This window comes from Homo sapiens, chromosome 11, assembly GCF_000001405.40.
Source record: "Homo sapiens chromosome 11, GRCh38.p14 Primary Assembly".
NCBI classification, from domain to species: Eukaryota; Metazoa; Chordata; class Mammalia; order Primates; family Hominidae; genus Homo; species Homo sapiens.
In genome coordinates, this window is record NC_000011.10 from 102,596,294 (window position 1) to 102,616,401 (window position 20,108).

At 41.9% G+C, this 20,108-nt stretch overlaps 1 protein-coding gene across 1 annotated transcript in view, besides 2 other annotated features; it reads right to left on the reverse strand.

Moving 5' to 3' along the window:
* The window catches only part of MMP20 (matrix metallopeptidase 20), a 48,501-nt gene that overhangs the window by 19,462 nt on the left and 8,931 nt on the right, over window positions 1–20,108 (reverse strand). The window contains exons 3-6 of the mRNA NM_004771.4: window positions 15,462–15,610; window positions 13,612–13,737; window positions 12,644–12,805; window positions 10,242–10,383 (exon numbers count right to left, since the gene is read on the reverse strand). Coding sequence (NP_004762.2) covers window positions 10,242–10,383; window positions 12,644–12,805; window positions 13,612–13,737; window positions 15,462–15,610 — 579 coding nt within the window. The remainder of the gene's footprint in view (window positions 1–10,241; window positions 10,384–12,643; window positions 12,806–13,611; window positions 13,738–15,461; window positions 15,611–20,108) is intronic.
* Window positions 19,017–19,518: an enhancer, noted in NCBI's record as "H3K4me1 hESC enhancer chr11:102486041-102486542 (GRCh37/hg19 assembly coordinates)". NCBI's record gives its function as "activates a minimal SCP1, AML or CMV promoter by ChIP-STARR-seq in primed H9 embryonic stem cells {active_cell/tissue: H9 hESC(primed)}" and the evidence as "EXISTENCE:reporter gene assay evidence [ECO:0000049][PMID:30033119]".
* Window positions 19,519–20,018: an enhancer, noted in NCBI's record as "H3K4me1 hESC enhancer chr11:102486543-102487042 (GRCh37/hg19 assembly coordinates)". NCBI's record gives its function as "activates a minimal SCP1, AML or CMV promoter by ChIP-STARR-seq in primed H9 embryonic stem cells {active_cell/tissue: H9 hESC(primed)}" and the evidence as "EXISTENCE:reporter gene assay evidence [ECO:0000049][PMID:30033119]".

Sequence of the window (20,108 nt, forward strand, 5' to 3'; positions counted from 1 at the left end):
GTTTCGTAAGAGGCATCATGGTGCAGAAGGAAAAACACATTGTGTTTGAGAAGATGTGGGCTAGAGTTTTAACTCCACTGCTGACCAGCCTCTCCAAGCCTCAGTTTAATCAGCTTACATGGGAAAAATAATTTCCTGGCCAATATCATGAGACCATTATAAGGATAAAATGAGATAATGAATATGAAAGTGTATTATAAACTGTAAGGTGCCATATGGATAGATACTGTTAGTTTGAAAAGGTATTATTTGCTTAGGCCTTAATTACCTGGTAATTGGGCACCCTCCATAGACAATACACAAGCCCCAAACATCACAGCCTTATCTAAAGCGTATGTTTTAACTGATGAAAAACTGAGATCCAGAAGGGCTGCTGGCCCAAAGGTCACTGGTGGTGAGGGGCAGAGACGGCCCAGCTCAGGCTCTAGCTGCCTTGAGGTTAGTCACATGTCCGATCTCACCTACTTGCTCATGCTCAGTCTCGTGACCTCTGGTTTTTTCTTTGTTTGTACTTTGACCCTTTGTCCAATCAGACCTGGGCTTTTCTGAAGGCCAGAGGGACTGCTTCCCTTTTCCCTTTTCTCTCCACCACCTCGTAATGAATACAGTTTTGGGTATCCAGAATCCCGCAACTACTTCTTGGATTAATTGGGAACCTGGGATGAAACCTGAAGAGCAAGTGTGTTCCAATTAATGCAATTCAATACATAGCTCTGAAATGTTTTCTCTTATAAGTTGCTGTGCTAAGACACAAAGTGTGCATTTAAGAATATTATAATGATGAGGCCATGTGGGGAAAGTGGGGAGGTAGAGGAGCAGATATGTCTTCCCAAAACTAGGCTCTGTCTGAATGATGTCTCTGATGAGGTGTAGTAGACTTCCAGCTGCTTTCTCTTTGATCACTCTAAAGCCAGATGCATTTTCTTGCATTTCTCACTTAAAAATCAACAAGCAACTCTAGGCAAAGCTAAGTCCTACTTTTTAGTTGAAGTTTTGGGACAGTGATATCTTGAATGACTCAACATGAGAAGTAGTAAAGGGTAGTAGTTACGAGCTCAGGCAAAGGAAAACTGTACTCTTGAAACTTTTCACAAGTGGTAGACTCTCAAATTCCTTACTAAGGAAATATTGATGTAGGATATCGTGAGGACTAAATTGAAGTAGTCATTGTAAATCAAGTGTGATTTTGCACCCTGGGGGACGTTAGGCAATATCTGGTGACAATTTTGGTTGTCACAGGTGGGGATGAGCAGTGCTATTGGAGTCTAATGAGTACAGCCAGGGATGCCACTAAACATCCTAATGCAAAAGACAGCTCAACACAACTAAGACTTATCTGGCTCAAGATACCAGTAGTGTCAATGTTAAGAAACCCTGCTTTAAACACCACTATGATGTAGTGTAATGTATATAATGTGCACATAGGATAGAAATAAATGCTATCCATCACTTATATAAATTATGACAAATTTCTTTTCTTTTCTTTTTTTTGAGATGGAGTTTCACTCTTGTTGCCCAGGCTGGAGTGCAATGGCGTGATCTAAGTTCATGGCAACTTCCGCCTCCTGGGTTCAAGCAATTCTCCTGCCTCAGCCTCCCGAGTAGCTGGGATTACAGGCATGTGACACCACTCCCGGCTAATTTTGTATTTTTAGTAGAGGTGGGGTTTCTCCATGTTGGTCAGGCTGGTCTCGAACTCCCGACCTCAGGTGATCTGCCTGCCTCCACCTCCCAAAGTGCTGAGATTACAGGCGTAGACACCATGCCTGGCCAAATTATCACAAATTTCAAAAAGAATCTGTAGTCATGAAAAATTTCAGTAAACTAATGAAAAAAATGATGTCTTGTGGCAATAAAACAGTAACATACTCAGACAATTTGCATCCTTAGACCTATAGATTGTAGTAATAAGTGAAGTAAAACTCACAAAAACAATGATAGCAAGTAACTTCCTTATACATCTGTGAATGGATTTAAAATATAAACAAAAAAATCTATAAGCCTCTTGGAAAAGAACAGCTGCAGGATGTATTGGAATGAAAATAAACAGATTATATCACTAGTCTATAATTTGATCTTTGATAAGGAAGGCAAAACAATGGAGTTTATTGATATTTTAGATCTGCTGATTAGATATTTAGCTGCACTGTTTATCTTCATGTACCCACTATCTTATGCTATGCTGGCACATAGTCAGGGTTCAATACACATTTGTTGGCTAAATGAACGGGTGCCAGAGAGATGATTGGAACTTACCTGATCAACAAGTTTCATATTCTTTAAAATTTTCATTCACTTTTACCAAAGAACAGTAACTAACTCATCAAATTTGAGATTTGGTCTCTGATAACTTTCACCTGGCCTCTTGCAGCTCTTTGCTAGTTCCTTGAATTCCTCCTCCAGCATCATGTATTATTCATCTTTTTATCCTTGGGCTTAGCATGCTGCCTGGTGCATCCAGGGACTTGATGCATGTTGTTGAGCCTTAAAGGTCTTCTTTTGTTTTACCCAGTCATCATTCTCCACCTACCTAAGCTGACCCCATCAGACTTTCATTTTCAGGAGATGCCTTCACCCTTTATTTGCTGGACAATCAAGGCAACTCAGCACAAGCTGAATGAGTGGCCCAATTTTCATCGTCTTTAGTCTCACACTCTCTTAGATTCTGATCTCTGTCATCTTCTTTCCTATTTGTGGGAAGGGGTGTCTTTCTTCTATCTTTTTTTTTTTTTTTTTTGAGATGGAGTCTTGCTTTGGTGCCTAGGCTGGAGTGCAGCGGCGCAATCTCAGCTCACTGCAACCTCTGCCTCCTGGGTTCAAACGATTCTCCTGCCTCAGCCTCCCAAGTAGCAGGGACTACAAGCACGTGTCACCACACCTGCCCAGCTAATTTTTGTATTTTTTTCAGTAGAGATGGGGTTTGACCATGTTGGCCAGGCTGGTCTTGAATTCCTGACCTCAAGTGATCTGCCTGCCTCGGCTTCCCAAAGTGCTGGGATTACAGGCATGAGCCACCATGCCGGCCTCTATCTTTTTGATTCTCTGTTTAATTACTGCTCACTCCCCTGAGATCAGGTGATGTGGTGCAGTGAACAGAACAAGAAATGCTTGAAACCTTGTTTTATAACTGGCTGTGTGACCTCGTGTGAGTCATTCAATTTTTCTGAGACTCAATTTCCTACTGTCAAATAAGAGTGAGAATAATATCTGCACAAACACTTAAAAGGATCAATTGAAATAATGCATATGAAAGTGTTTTATAAATTCAGGACTATTCTTATTTGTAGACACTTTAAAAAGACATGTTTTTACTCCACAAATTTATTAATAGATGATATGCAGAATATAAACTTAGAGTTTATCAATATAGCCAAGTTTCCTTCTTAGTTTGCTTCACTGGAAACTTTGAAGTACAAACTGTCATGTCATTGGCTGAGAAGCCATTCATTCTATGGGACTCATTAACCAGGGCTGCTTAGTTCATGATGAGTCAGAAGCCAAGAAATCAACCATGAATCATCCACCTCACTGAACCCAAGAAAAATATAGTTCATACAACTAAAAACCCATCTGTAGCCAGTGCTGTGGATTAATGATAGTCAAAGCTGTGCATAGTGCCCTTAAATTAAGAATGTTTGTACCCATCTGAAGAGCCCGTGAAAATCCATATTCATAAGCCATAACCTGTGAACATGTAAAGGGCCCCTCCTCTCTCAGAATCAGGTGGTTCAGAAGAAATGACAATGAGTCAGGGATGTTACTTCACCTCTGCTTCTTTATCTGAATTCTTAATAGATCACAGAGAACCGCTCTAAGTAAACACAATGCCATTTGTTGGCTTTCAGGGAAGTAATCTTACAGCCAGAAAAGACACATTCCCAGGGAGAATGCGAAGGAGGAAGACTTCCTCCTGTTCCATGGTGGGCTTACCTCAAGCCCATGGCATCCTGGGAATTCCCAATTTCAAATCTACTCTCCAGAAATAGTGGTTACTGTTATTGTTTTCCTTCCTGTAGCATCTTGTATTTCTTTTTCTCCACTGTCTTCAAACATGAACAGTTCCCTCTTTGAAATCCTGTCTTGGCCCTGCTGCCACTGCCAACTATTATCTTAACTTCTTTTGTTATTAACAAGCTTCTCAAATGAATGATCTATCTCAACTCTTTTGTTTCCCCCCATTTGCTTTTTATTATTTATTTATTTATTTTAAGATAGGGTCTCGCTCTGTCACCCAGGCTGGAGTGCAGTGGTGCAATCTCAGCTCACTGCAACCTCTGCCTCCAGGGTTCAAGTGATTCTCCCACCTCAGCCTCCTGAGAAGCTGGGATTACAAGGCACTGCCACCACATCTGGCTAATTTTTTTTGTATTTTTAGTAGAGACAGGGTTTCACCATGTTTCCCAGGCTGGTCTTGAACTCCTGACCTCCAGTGATCCACTCGCCGCCTCTCCCAAAGTGCTGGGATTACAGGTGTGAGCCATTGCGCCTGGCCCCATTTGCTCTTTAACCCCTTTCCATGATCTGGCTTTCTTCCTCACTGCTCTGCTGTGACTATATTCCAAACTATCCTGGCCACTCAGTCCCTTTTCTTCAGTCCTCAGTCTGGTGACCTTGGCAACATTTTCCACTGTTGATCACTTAAAAAAAATACACCCTTTTTTCCCAGATTTATTTGGGATTTCACCACAGGGGTTTTGTCTCTGATGTCAAACAGAACTAAGTTATAATTCCAGCTGAGGACAATGACAGTATGGATTAAATGAGTGAATATCTGTAAAATTCTTAGCACAACACATAGCACGTTGCAAATGACCACGAAGTGTCGGCTATTCTTTTTTTTTTTTTTTTTTTTTTTTTGAGACGGAGTCTCGCTCTGTCGCCCAGGCTGGAGTGCAGTGGCGGGATCTCGGCTCACTGCAAGCTCCGCCTCCCGGGTTCACGCCATTCTCCTGCCTCAGCCTCCCAAGTAGCTGGGACTACAGGCGCCCGCCACTACGCCCGGCTAATTTTTTGTATTTTTAGTAGAGACGGGGTTTCACCGTTTTAGCCGGGATGGTCTCGATCTCCTGACCTCGTGATCCGCCCGCCTCGGCCTCCCAAAGTGCTGGGATTACAGGCGTGAGCCACCGCGCCCGGCCTCGGCTATTCTTATCGTTATTATTTTCGGAGTGCTGAATCTCTCTGGTTGTTATTAAATCCTTTTCTTCTATTTCCTAGGCTCATTCTTTAGACTTTTTTTCTTTCTCCTCATTCTCTCTACAGAGCTGTTTTTCATCTCCACATCTTTAAATGTCTCCTTTATGTGGGAGATTCAAAACCCACGAAGCCTCCAACTGTGACCTCTTCCCTGAGCACTAGCTTATTTCTATGAAACTCCGTGAAAATTGTCATTGCTTTAAATCTGATACATCTAACCCTGTTTTACATCGTGTTCCCAACAAATCCTCTGAATTTTTCTAAGTGAACAATGCTGTATATTATACTCTCAGCCATGAGGCTTCTACCTGCTTTAACTTTCCCTTTTCCATTGTTCTTCTCACCAAATTAGTGTCCTAATCCCACTGGTGAGTCCTCAGAATGCCTTTTATTAATACATCCATTCTTCTCTCCAATTCCTACTTGCATAACCCTTAAAAATGCTTTTCTTTTCTTTCTTTCTTTTTTTTTTTTTTTTGAGACGGAGTCTTGCTCTGTCGCCCAGGCTGGAGTGCAGTGGCGCGATCTCGGCTCACTACAAGCTCCGCCTCCCGGGTTCACGCCATTCTCCTGCCTCAGCCTCCCGAGTAGCTGGGATTACAGGCGCCCACCACCACGCCCGGCTAATTTTTTTTTTTTTTTTTTTTTTTTTGTATTTTTAGTAGAGACGGGGTTTCACCATGTTAGCCAGGATGGTCTCCATCTCCTGACCTTGTGATCTGCCCACCTCGGCCTCCCAAAGTGCTGGGATTACAGGCTTGAGCCACCGCGCCCGGCCAAAAATGCTTTTCTTTGCCTTCTAATTTAAGACACATAACATCTTTTAAAATGTGACAATTAGTGACAGATTAAAAAAATATATAGAATCCTATTTTGGAAAAAAAAATGTGAAGAAACATATTAGACATCCTTGGGAAACCTAGATAGTCTATGAACATCCTCCTCTTTGTGGCTGGTTGCCCCACTTGCAAGCAGAGGGTGTGGAAGCAAAGGAACAGCTCGGAAGTGCTCTTCCTACTAACTCAAATGCATAACAGTCAATGGGCATATGTTCATTCAGGTTAAATTTCAGTGCTTTTCTTGGTATTTCCATTTCATAGGCAGAAAGCTTTCTATATTAGTGCTAGGATAGATTCTGGACTGGAGTCAGAAGATCTGGGTCTCATGGGAGGGTCTGCTGAGGCTAAAAGACCTGTGCCTATTTTCCTTATCTCTACACTGAAGGATTTGGATATGATCAACCTTTATGCTTACTCTATTTGTAAAACCTATTGTACTTCTAAGATTTATAGATGATTGTGTGTGATATTCTTGATTTTACCCTTAAAATTATATTGGGCAAAACCCAACATAATATGATAGATGCAAATATAATTTTGGTGTGGCTACAATTCCAGTCATTTCTCTCTTATTTTCCCTAAGTGACTGAGGAAATGTGATATAGCCTTAATAAATTTGTCATCTATTATAAAAAGTAAGTGTATGTTCATTAAGTATATCTAGCTATATATATGCCTCTCAACTTATTATAGCTAACACTTATTTCTCTTCACACAGAACATTTGAATGTACGTTTATACACTATGGAGAATATCTGACAAATCTCACGGTGACTTTAAAAGGTACTGCATTCCATCTTGCTTTGGAAACAAACCATGTGGTTATTATGCCCACAGCTTGAAATGTCCCATCAACAGATCATTGTTGGTGACGGGGAATTCCAGGCTGTTGAGTGGGAGAGAAGAGACTGGGAGCGCTTTCATAATCAGTGGCTCCCTGGTTGCCATTAGAACTGTGGCTTGAAAGAATTCTTTGTTCTTTGTCCAGGCTTAGCAAGCACTCTGGGACTTTTAGCGGCAGCTGGTAGGGGATCAGAGCTATAGAGTCATGGGATTCCAGCTCTGGACAGCACCTTAGGAGGCAGGGTAGTTAGGGGCACGGATTCTGAAGTTTGCTAGTTTGGGTTTGAATTCCAGCTCCACCCCTTACTAGCTATGTACTCTTGAACAAGTTGCTTATCCTTTCTATGACTTGTAAAAGGAATAATACTTCAGGCCTCACAGGGGAATTGTAAGGATGTGATAATATAGTGCTTTGCATAATAAGTACTGAACACTTTTAAGTCACTATTATTACAGACAACTCCCTCACTTTATAGAAAAGGAAGAGAAGCTCCAGGTGCCACGGTGAGTTAGTGGCAAGTCCAGTGCTGGGACCACTCCTGACTCCCCATCCTGCTTATAGCTCGTTCTAGTTCTTTGGAATCATCTGCCCTACCCCAGTAGCTCATTGAATCTGAAATGGAAGAAGATGAGAAGGTGGTGACTAAGCAGATACGTACATTGTAGCAGGCCATCTCTCCTGCGGTCCCTCTGCTGATTTTTCATTTCTAGACGTCTCTTGCACCAATGTCTCACTTACTAGTCTGTTATCACCCTCAGTATTTATAATCAAGACTATGTCAAAAGATGTATTGACTTTAAGTAGTCATTAGTAATTGCTAAATGCTCACAGTTTGATAAACAGAGGTGTTTTTTTTTTTTGCTTTTTTTTAAGAAAACAATGATCATTGAATGAAATGGTATCATATGTCTGACTTCACCACCTCCTTTACCCCCACTGCAACCTCTGATATTTACCACAAGAATAAGCTACACCCTGCATGATGGCTAGCACCTCACTGCTTTATCACTGAATGAGTGCTACATGCTATTTCAGTGTCTGGGAGTGTGGAGCCTGACAATGATATCCCTTAGGTGAAGCCAAGTTTACTCAGATCTGTGCTCCAAGCTCCTCCTGCCCTGCCTGGTCTACCACTCCCGGGTCATTGCTTACCAATTCCATTTGGTGTACTTTTTGGTAATATTCAAGAAAAATGTCAATGGTCAGTGTCTTAAAAATAAAAAATCATCAGAAAATTAATAACACAAAAGAATAAATTGGGTTCTCTAAATACCTGAAGTTGTTTATAAGCCTCCCTGCCATTGTAAATATTTTTTGATTCCCACTCTTAAGAATAGTAACTGCCATTTATTGACACTATGTGTCTGGCACATTACTTGCTGGGGATCACCTCATCAGTAAGCAGTAGGGCCACCCACTGACTCTGCTGTGAAAGCCTGGGTTCCTGGGCTCAGCTCTAATTTGCCTTTGAAAAGTGAATGTCTGTCCATTGTCAAAGATTTAGTTCAAACTGTTTCTAATTTTTAAAAATTAGAAATAATCCAGTATGGGATTGATTAAGTAATGATATATCTATTCATTGGAATAACATATAATATATAAAGGATGAGAATTAAAATCCGTTGACAGGAAAAAATAAAATTTTGTGAGTGAAAAAGTTTATAAATCAACACCACTAGTAAAATCCTATTTTTTTAGAAATCATTGCGCCCTACTCCCATATGTACAATATCTAGCTCTCTATCCAGAGAAAACGTCAGGAGGGACATAAAACAATATGCTTAACAATGGGAATGCTCTGTGTTATGTGCCCTCCAAATTCCTATGCTGAAGCCTTTACCTTCAATGGGATGGTATTACCTTCAAGAAGTAATTAGGGTTAGTGCTGGAAGAGGACATTCCTGACTCATGAGGTCATGAGGGTGGGGGCCCCATGATGGGACTAGTGCACTTATAAGAAGAGAAACTGGAAATCTCAGTCCTCTCTCTCTGTACATGAAGGGATCATGAGAGCTCACAGCAAGATGGCGGCTGCCTACAAGCCAGGAAAAGAGGCCTTGGGGTGAAACTTACCTTGCAGTACCTTGATCTTGAACTTCTTACCCTCCAAAACTGTGAGGAATACATTTCTGTTGTCTAAGCCACCTGGTCTATGGTACTTGGTTATAGCAGCTCCTGCAGACTGATACACTCCAGGTGGTGGGATTCTGGGTAAATTTTGCTTTTTAAAAAATACTTTGTTACTTTCTCTCTGTGCTGAAGGAGCAAAAAGTATTCTTATAATAGTAGCTCAACAATATATCCCCAAAAGCATACAAGATAAGGAACATCACATTTCTCAAACGTCTGCTCCTCAGGGAACTCTCTCTAGATCTTCCCAGGTACTTGCTTCTTGTTTTGTTTCATGGGCCTAACTTTTAGAGCTCATGTCTCACTATCTTGCAGGGCTTTTGGAGTCCCCTACTCATACACCTTCTCATACATGAGACTACACTGCTTGAAAACCACAATGGGCTCCATAAACACTTTTGCAATAGTGAAGAAGAAGAAAAAATAATGCCACACATGAATGCTCCTGAGATGCCTCTGCCTATTCTGGTGTGATTGAATTCTGTCCCCAGCAAAGGGAGGAATGGGGTGAATGTTGCTATGTTTCTCTTTGCCTCCATGGAAAGAAGTATTTGGAGTAACCAGCATCATGGAGACAACAGCCTTACTCCCCAAGAAACCAGAGTTGGGGGAGAAGAGGGATCTGCCTTCTCTGTGAAAGGCCCGGAGGCACTGAAAAGGAGCAGTTTCGGAAGAATGCTGGCCTTGGAATTATCTACCCACCTATCTATCCATCTGATCATCCATCCATCCATCCATCCTTTTATCCAATCTCCTATCTGTCCATCTGTCCAGCTAGCCAACCCTCATTCACCAAATATTTATTGAGCATTTGCTATGCACACTCACTAGGGATAAAGTGGTAAACAAAATGGACATCAGATCAATTCAGGCTGGTGTCCTAGCTCAGCCATTTAACTGTCACCTTGGGAAACTTGCTTGCTGTCTTTGAGCTGCTTTCTTTATCTGCACATTAGGGATTCTAATCTCTACAGTGAAAAAGGTTACAATAAATATTGTCCATATATGGACATAACTTAGCACAGTAGCAAGACCACAGTAGGTGCACCACAAACAGTAGTTTTGGCAGTTCTCTATCTCCCCCAAAGACCCCTGCCTACCACCCTTCTGCTGCATAGGACAGCATTTCTGCATGATCTTCATACAAGGCAGCAACAAGGACCTGTGGGACGACGTTTGTCTGGGAGTGGAGATGAGGCCCAATGAGAGTCGGTGGCGTGTCTGAGGCTTACCGGTCCTTGAAGAGCAGGAGCTCCTTCCCCAGCATTGTCACAGCGTCAAAGGATGAGCTGGAGTCACAGAGGTCAGGGATGGATGGCTTGTGATGGGGGGCATGGGGCAGAGTGGGCTTCCCCAGGAATACTTTCCGAGGTCCTAGGATTCAAAATGAGTTGGTCAAAATGGTAACGGGAATTTGGAGTTCACACACTTCTGCTCTAGAGCCCCAGGGGAGGTTGTACACTTTCACGCTGGACATGTGATCATGATCATGGCTGTTGAGGGCAGGTATGGGTTTGAGTCCCGGCTCTCCTGGTTGCTGAGCTGTGTGATTTGAGGCACATTATTCAACTTTGCAAGCCTCAGCTTCCTCACTTGTTAAAAGGGAGGGATAATAATAGTACTCACCTCAGAAGGCTGTTGTGAGAATTAAATAATTCCTGTAAAGCAGGTAGCAGAGTGCTTGGCACATAGTAAGTCTTCTAAAGATTATTATTTTATTATAGAACTTCTTTGATATCTACAAGTGTTCCAAATTAGAAATGTAATTTAAAAATTGGCATGGATTGTTTGTTTGTAATTAAGTTCTTTTTTTCTCAATAAGAAAACTTTCTTGTGTGTTTTCCTATTATTTTCATAGACTCCTTGGCATCCTGCCCTGTGCTTTTGTCTTTTACTAGGCATCCAGGAAAAACTGAGCGAGTTCTTGTGAAACTGAAGTACACTGAAGGTGTTTGCTATTTAAAGGTATCTTCTGGTGGATCGTCTTGGAAAACATGGACCCAAATCTTGCGAGAGCTATCAGTGAGTCTCCTCTCCTGCTCTGCATCTCTCAGGACTGTGTCCCAGCTCCAGAAGAATGAGCCTGCACAGCTTGGACTGTCACCTCTGGCAGGTTCCTGCTCTTTGATGAAGCCTCGTCATAATTACAGGTGAGAGTCAGGGAAGGAATGAGGCACAGGGAAGGGAAAGGTTCAGGCCTCTGATAAGGGTCAGATGAGGTTTGAGGTCAGGGATGAAGTAGGGTTAGCATCAAGGCGAAGATCAGAGGCGGGGTGAGGCTTTGGGAGAATATCGAAGCTGGAAATTGGAGAGGGTCAGCAGCGGCAAGCGATCGGGTGGGTGATATGAATGCTCCCTTGTAACATAAACCCATGTTTTCACATTTTGTTCACCTGTGTCATAATAGCTGTGCCAAAATATGTGCTTTGCCTCCTGGCTGAGTGACAGTGGCCATCCGAAGGCAGTGACTTTCCAGGGCACAAGGACCTCCAAAGGCAAGTGTTTGAGCTCAGCCCTTCTCGGTGGCCCACAGGAATCGCTTCCCATTGGAACACTGCCACCAAGGCTCTGGAGCTGAGTTTGTGACATGGAGACATTCATGGCATTTTTCCTGTCCCTCAAGGGTCAGGCAGATCTGGTGCTTTCCCCCTCCTGGAAATGGATAGAGCTGGCTGAAAGCTTCTTGGGATGAAATTTGTCTTTTGTGCCTCAGGTGAAATCTGACTGATTTTGAATGGTGTGCCCATTTCTGGGCTTCCCACCCTCCAGATCCCCTGGGGCCAGATTCCTAGCACCCCAGGAAGCTGTTGGGGGATCTGGGTCTCTAGGCACTGAGAAGATGGGGAGAAGCTCTGATAATCAGAAGCCTAATAACCAGGTCTCCAGGGCTCAAAGGAAAAGCAATTTCCTAGATCTTTTTGCCTTTTATCCATTAAAGAAAAATTGTCAAGGTCTAAGGATGTTTCAAGATTCCTTCTGATGGATTAATTGGTTTGTTTTTCCCTTAAGGAAAATTGGATACAGAGTTTCTAATAATCCCTTATTACCTTTTGGAAGAATATTAATACTTGAGGTAACTTATCTTAGGATATCTTAGGATACTTACTGTCTTCAAACCTCAGCTTTCTCAGCTATCAAATGAGGAAAACACTTCACACCCCACAGGTTGGTTGTGAGGCTGGTGTAAGACTACACACATGAACCTGTTTTGTAAACTGCAGATTGGCTACATGACTGGGTGCAGAGTTATTTTAATCATGATTGCTATTTTTAGGGAGATAAGGTCACTTATCTGCAAATGGGTAAGCACCACATATATGAACTATAAACTATATCCATCCTCTCCCAATGTGTAAATTCTAACCTGCACTCAAAGGAAAAACATAAACCGACAAATGACTATATTTTCTAAGGCTATCCAGGACTAATATGCTGTAAAGGAAAGATGCAAAATTTAATCACACATCACACACATATTTATAACTAGCAAATCAGCTCTTCACAAGAAGGCATAGTTGGGGTTATGGTTTCTAGATTGATCTTTACCAATGCAGATAAAATGCACTTTCTTTAATTCGGAGACTGAATGCCTGCCAATTTCAGGGTGAGTCATCAAAGAAGGTAATAATCTTACCGTATAATGCCTGGATCCCTTTCACATCATCTTTGGGGAGGTGGAATCCATAGGGATTCTTGTACTTATAAGTTGGGTACATCAGTGCTGATGGGTCTGTGGAATGGGCCAGGCCCAGGGCATGGCCAAATTCATGAGCAGCAACGGTAAACAAATTAAAACCTAGACAATATGAGAGAGAAAAAAACAGTATCAACACAGGTTTTTGTTTTCTCCATCTTCCATCTTTATAGTATAATTTATGCCCACATTACAGTTAACCCATCTCCTTCTCCTAACTGGATTATTCAAAGGTTGGTAGGTTATTCTGGCACTTAGCTTTGGTGACTTTAATTCTTCCCCCCTTGGCTAGAAGGGGGTTGGGGGTGGGGGAGGACAGAAATGCACATCAATCCATTTTATTCATCATCAGTGATGTTTGGTAGACTGATAAAGCAGAGCCTTGGAACAAATAGTGGCAATGCTATTTGGCAATAATTCATAAATTTAGACCACAAATGCCTTAATAGTTCCCTGCTATTACAGCCTACACCTTTTGATCCACACGTTTCACACTGAAGATTTCCAGATGACCTGTATGATATTCTGGAAACTTTATTCCCATCCCCAACACACTTCTCAGGACAGTACTGATTCTCTTGGGTCATTTCTGAATGTAGCCCATTTCCAAGAATAAGTAAGAAATCATAAATACTAGGTTGTTGAAGGAAACGAGAGCAGTGCGTTGAGAAGGGGATGACTGGTTCTTCAGATGATATGCTATGAAACAGATCAGACAAGTCTACAACACAATTTGGGGTGGATTTTTTTCCCTTATGTGATCCCTTTTGGATTTTTGGCTTACTTGTTTTTCCTAGCCAGCCCCCCTAGTTAAAGGGTGGCTTGGGACGTTGAACCTCAAGGTTTCATGATGGAGCCCAGAAGAAGGTACAATATTTTCCAGGTTATGGTGAATTGTGCATATATACCATTCGTTCCCATAGTCCACTTCTCAGCATTGTCGAAATGTGTATCTCCTCCCAGGCCTTCTCCAGGAGCAAATGCATGGGCTAGAGTCCCCCGAGGCCCATCGAATGGATAGGAATCCCCGTGATCTAAACAAGTGGGGAGAAAGGCCAACAAGATTGAGTCCTTCTAGAAATTCTGAGGGGCGCATCATATTACAGAAAAGGGACATTTTGAGTAGCATTGACACTTAAATTCACTTTTCAGTATTTATTTGTTATAATGGGAAGTTCATTTGTCAATGAGTAACAGCCCATTGAAAAATAAAAAAGGCTAATTCATACTGCAAAGATAGTAAGCATTAGCAATAAAAAAACACCTGTTTTGGGTTATTGTTGCTATCATGACATCTGTTAACTGACACATAGGATACTGTGGACTTTGCATGTGCCACAGATTACAAAAGGAGAACGACTGGGGCGGGGCGGGGCGGCGGGGGGGCGGCATTCGATAGCAAAACCTACCCCACTGATTGGAATGTGAACCTGTTAGCAGAATGACCTTTCAAATTTGATTCAGCTGAGACAGTGATAGTGAATTGAACAAGTGTGTGCTTTCTGTTTCTATAGCACAATACAGTTTAAGGAAGTGTCAAAAATCTCTCTGTAATTTTGACATACTTTCATGTGGAAAACATATGAAAGTCATAAAGGTGTTTATAAAATCCTAACTTTTAAAGCTTTTTAAGTTTTTGTTTAATTATCTATTTTAACTAACAATTCATTACAAATTTAATAGAAGAGGAGGAGGAAGAACAAAATAAGGGATATAGTTTACCACTTAAAAAAATCTTAGTAAGGATACCCAGTTTTAGTTTGTTTTTTTTTTTTAAAAAGCCGACAGAACAAAGTTTTGGTATGGCATTTCTCAGGTTTCAGTGAAATGCAGTCTACTCAGGTGCACACACCGAGGACTTCATGCAATGGCAGCACAGTCCCTGGTTGGCTTGTGTATTAGGGGACAGACTGTAAGCTTGAAAGATCAAGAGAGAGCCAGACATTCATTCCTTGGCCTTCAAAGCTACCCCGAGTCACACTGCTTTCCCTGCCACTTCACCAGGGGTGGCCTTTCTCTTCTGGGAGGAATAGGACATAACCTGGGCCAGGTCACGCCCAGGGCCATTTCTAAAGGCTTTATTCTCAGGACTTGCTTGATCTTCTTTTTTCTAGCTCCTAAGCATGTTTTCCCCCCAGTGACATCAGATTAAAATTAAGATCTGGGCTTGAAATGACAAGGACACTAGAAATGTTATCTGAGGAGGGTGAGCAATGGAATGGAGAAGAAGTGGGAAAGTTGGAGGCAGACCTCTTGCATATCTCCCAGAAGGTGGTCTGCAAGTGTGGGCAAGACAGAAACGATACTTTCCTAACCATTGCTGCAGGGGGAAAGCTGCTTCAAGGTCACTGTGGAAGGTATTTGCTTCAGTGAGGATTCATGGTAGGATATCCTTGGCTAATATAGAAGGGGTTATATAAGTGATAAACACTATCATGGGAATGGATGAGGTCATGTGGCTAACGGGAAAGCAAAATCTGCAAGAATTTGTCCCCTAGTGGGGCAAAGTCATAATGAAAGTTTGTTACAGTGAATCTACTCTACAGCTGTGTCTGATGATGACAAGACATGCTAAGAACTCCTTTGGTTCTATTTTCTGGCCAGATGAAGATCATGGCTTTGCCATGGTCTTGGCCTTGGCCCATCACAGCACTGTGCGAAGGAGGAGTGTGTGATCACTCGAATTAAAGATGTAGAAGGAACAGTATTGGGACAACTCTCCTTTGAATTAGTAGATGGAATCCAAGTACCACAATACCTCCATTTTCAAAAGATATCATAATATCCGCTTCTCCTGAGTTTATTCTGACAAAGCTCAGAGGGACGGCGCTACTCCAGGCCTGCAAGGCCATCTCCACTGCTTTGTCCACCTCGACAGAACTCATGGAAGGTGTGTATTTAGATATTCTGTGAAAACGGAAGGAACATGTTTTCTTTTCAGTAACTGCTCCGAAGAAGGCAAGAATTATATGTTGTATTCAAAAAATGTTAAATGTAAATCTACAATTTAGATTTTTCTCTGAAATAATAATTCTTATTTTGCTTTATTATATGTTAAATTTCTGCATATGAAACAACAAGACAAATGAAAGGGAGAGATGAGAGACAGTTGGGATAATCCGGTACTGAAACCATTTAGCTTTCATTGTTATTATACTACCACCGACTTAAAAGAATAAAATTTGTGGCCGGGCGCAGTGGCTCACGCCTGTAATCCCAGCACTTTGGAAGGCTGAGGTGGGAGGATCACTTGAGGTCAAGAGTTCGAGATCAGCCTAGCCAAGATGGTGAAACCCCATCTCTACTAAAAATACAAAAATTAGCTGGGCGTGGTGGTGCAAACCTGTAGTCCCAGTTACTTGGGAGGCTGAGGCAGAAGAATCATTTGAACCTGGGAAGTGGAGGTTGCAGTGAGCCAAGATCGGGCGACTGCACTCCAGCCTGGGTGACACAGTGAGACTTCACTCAAAAATAATTAAATAAATAAATAAGATAAATAAAACTTGTGAAATGTTACAGGTAGTAAGTAGTCAATTTTTCTTAAAGTCGTTTTCATTGAGAGAGGACCTCTTTTTCCCCAAAGGGACTGGATGTTTTCAATTATAAAAAATAGAAATGTGGAGTTTTGAAGTTTTGCTAATTCTTATTCAAAGCTCCTCAGGATTTCCCCAGGGCTATTGGGGAAGGTTTTTTTTTCCCTCAGAATAATGCATTCTTTTCTTTTTTCTTTTTCTTTTCTTTCTTTTTTTTTTTTTTTGAGATGGAGTTTTGCTCTTGTCGCCCAGGCTGGAGTGCAATGGCATGATCTCTGCTCACTGCAACCACTGCCTCCCAGGTTCAATTGATTCTCCTGCCTCAGCCTCCTGAGTAGCTGGGATTATAGGTGCCCGCCACCACGCCGGGCTAATTTTTATATTTTTGGTGGAGACGGGGTTTCACCATGTTGGCCAGGCTGGTCTTGAACTGCTGACCTCAGGTGATCCGCCCTCCTCAGCCTCCCAAAGTGCTCGGATTACAGGCGTGAGCCACTGCCCCCAGCCCAAAATAATACATTCTTAAAGAGGAAGGGCTAGCTTTAAAAACGGAGGCTCACTGGAATTGAAAAAAGGGTGAGCCTTTCAGCAATTACTGGTGTGACGATGACACCTGAAGGCAGAAAAATGTAGTGCTTTTTGGACTGTGGGTGGAGTCAGAGTTGGTGATTGTTAGAACTTTCTGCTCTGAAGCCCAGGGTCTGGGGATTTCTGGCAGCACACAAAGGAAAGGCAGGGAGGGCAACTTCTACCCGAGACCTTGGGCTGGGCTGGAATATGATGCAAAGTGAGAAGCTGTGTCTGTGAGAGCCAACCCCATGAGCAGGGACCGGCCCTGCTTTCTCTCTCTCTCTCTAGCTCCTAGTTTAGTGCCTTGCACATAGCAGATGCTTAGCAATTGCTTGATAAATAAATGAATGAATTAAAGAATTAAAGCTAGCTGTTTTAGGGCCCACTCAGTGGCTCTCGAAGTTTAGGACCTGTGATAATTACCTAGGAAGCTTGTTAAAAATACAGGTATGATCCAGAAATCTGTGTTTTGAAAGGTATCTTAGGTTATTATAATGCAGATGGTGCAATTTCAATGAGAAACCAACAGCAGTAATCCTAGGGTCCCAAATGAAAGGACTGTGCCCACAGAAAGGATAGCAAATAGCTCAATTCAGGACTTGAGAGGGAAGGAACAAGGAGCTCTTTAACCCCAGGTTTGGGGCCAAAAGAAGAGAGCTATAGAATTGAAGGGGGATACCAGACAGACCCTTAAAGGGACTATTTAATGCTTTCAAAATATGCCAAGCCCACTGCATAATATGAGTCTGCAATTTATCACAACTAGGTGGACTTAGTACTTTGACATGCCCTCGCATTTTTGGTAAGTCAGCCATATCTTTGAGCTGACTTTGTGTGTTGGCCTGGAGAAGACAAGGAAGGAGAGAGGGATAGCACCAGAGAAGAAGAGAACATGGAAAAAGGGATCCCCGAATCAGGGTCTGGAGCTTGATAAAGCAATAGTAATACTAGCCAATATTCTTTGAAGTCACACTATGTGCTGTTGCTGTATGCACTTTTTAATGTGGCATTTATCTAATCCTCACTTCGACCCCTAAGAGGAAGATCATCATCATCATCTACATGTTATGATTAGTCAGGTTTGAGCCCAGTTCTGTCTGACTCCAAAGCTTATGCATATAAGCACTATGCTGTATTTTTTTTCCTTTTGTAATCCTCTGGGTTATGTTGTAAGAAGTTATTCTGAAAGTCAGTAGCTACACAGGCAGAGTACTGTGATAGCCTCTAGTGTCCTTTTTCATGGGGAGGCGATGGTAGAGTTATTGGGGAGCAAGAGTGGATAGGCAATGTGTGTGTTGAGGGGTTTTTAAGACTGCCCAGCTTATCACAAGAATATTATACTTCCCTAAGCATCACATTATCTTGACCCAGGCTTCTTGTCTTTGTTGTACATAGTCATGGACTAAAATTCCAGAACACAGTTTACTTTAAGAAAACTATGAAAAGACTCTGTCGATGCGTACACATTTTTCTTGTCTTATTCTTACTATTTCAGAATCACTTTTGTGTTCAACTCCTATGAGGTTTTTCTCCCCCAATTGCTTTGTTTTTTTGTTCAGCCTGCCACCTTATGGATTTATTGGCTGATAGCAGGTAACAAGTGGCCTAGGGGATTCATGACTGTTCCCTGGATTCTGGCCCCTCCTTTGATCAAATGGACTCACTGGTGTGCTGGAACAGGTTAACAAGTGGCTCTACAAGGAGAAAAAAAAAAACCCACTTGATTTGCATGACTTGCTGATTTCTGTGTTGTAAATATTCTCACTATGGCTAATTCAAGCTACCAACTTACCATCACTGAATGCCAGGTTGTGAAGAGATGAGCATGAATGAACCACTCAGATTATACAGATGTACATAGCCTCATGAACAGAGAAAATAATAAAATGTAGTGAAATAAGAGGCAATATGTTATTACCTTTATTTTTAATATAATTTAATATAATTTATTATATTAATGTAATTATTTAATATAATGTATTTAATATAATTTAATGTAATTTATTAAATAATTATACCTATTAAATAATATAACATATAATAATAAATAACGTATTTTATTTATTATTATAAAATAATGTTTTAATAATATATTATTAATAAATAGTATTTTATTTATTACTACAAAAATATATTTTAATAATAAATATAAATATGAAATAATATACTTATTTAATATAATTTATTTAATATAATATAATTTAATTTATTTAATGTAATGTAATATGATTTATTTAATAGTAAATTTACATAATTTAACAATGGCTGTCTTAGCAACCAGCTCACAAAATTCTTGGGAGCTTAACAAGTGGCTGCAAAATTCCTGACATTTTAAGGATTGGCTTCTGTGAGCTATTAGGCGGCAGCTCTACCATACCACTGCTTAGACTATTGCACGAGTCCAGCCTTTCCCCATCTCCAGTTATCATCTAGATGTGCTCATCCTAAAAGGGAAATCTGATCCTGGTCCTGGCCTGGCTCTCCACCGCCCTGGGGATAAAGTCCAAACTCCTTGACATCACGCTCTAGTTGCCCTTCAGGCTGCCCCTCCAGCTCATTTCCTGCCATTGCCCTTCCTGCACCCTCTGCTGCAGCCGCATGCACTAGGCACTTGTGGTGGGAATGCTGCCCATCAACATGCCAGTCTGTCCACTCTCTGCTGCTATATGCTTGGTCTGGTTTTCTCCTTAGAAAACTCCTTACATGTGCAAGGCCTGGGGCAGGACCACAAAGAGTGGAGTCCACTCTTCTTTTCTGACCTGCACCCATCTGTCATGCATGAGGCCCACGCAGGCAGGCACCATCCACCCCTACCTCAGGCTGAGGGGCAGGTACCATACATAGTTTGCCCTTGGTTGGACCAACCTGGGGAGGAAGTCTGCGCTGGCTCCCAGAATCAGGTCTGGCTGTGGGAGAGGGAATTCCAGACTCCGTACCCTGAGCACAGCAGGGAGGGACAGAGGTTCTGGTTGGGTGTGTCCCCTTGGTTTATAAGGGATGAAGCCAGAGGATTAGGGGAGGGAAGAAAGAGGGCAGGGAAGGAGTGAGGGGAGCTTGGGGCTAAGAGTGGAACTGCTTCTGCTTTGCCTTCGAATCAGGCTCAGATGTTACTGCTGGTCCCTGGGCCACTTGGTAGCTCTGTCCATGTGAACTGTGGTCCCACAGTTCACTGCTTAGAGCTATGCTTTTGCACTTTTCACACAGAGCTACAGCTGTCTGTTTGCATGTCTGTCTCTCCTTAAAGGACTGTGAGTTCCCTAAGGTCAAGAAAGTTGACCTGTTCACCTTTATAACCCTCAAAT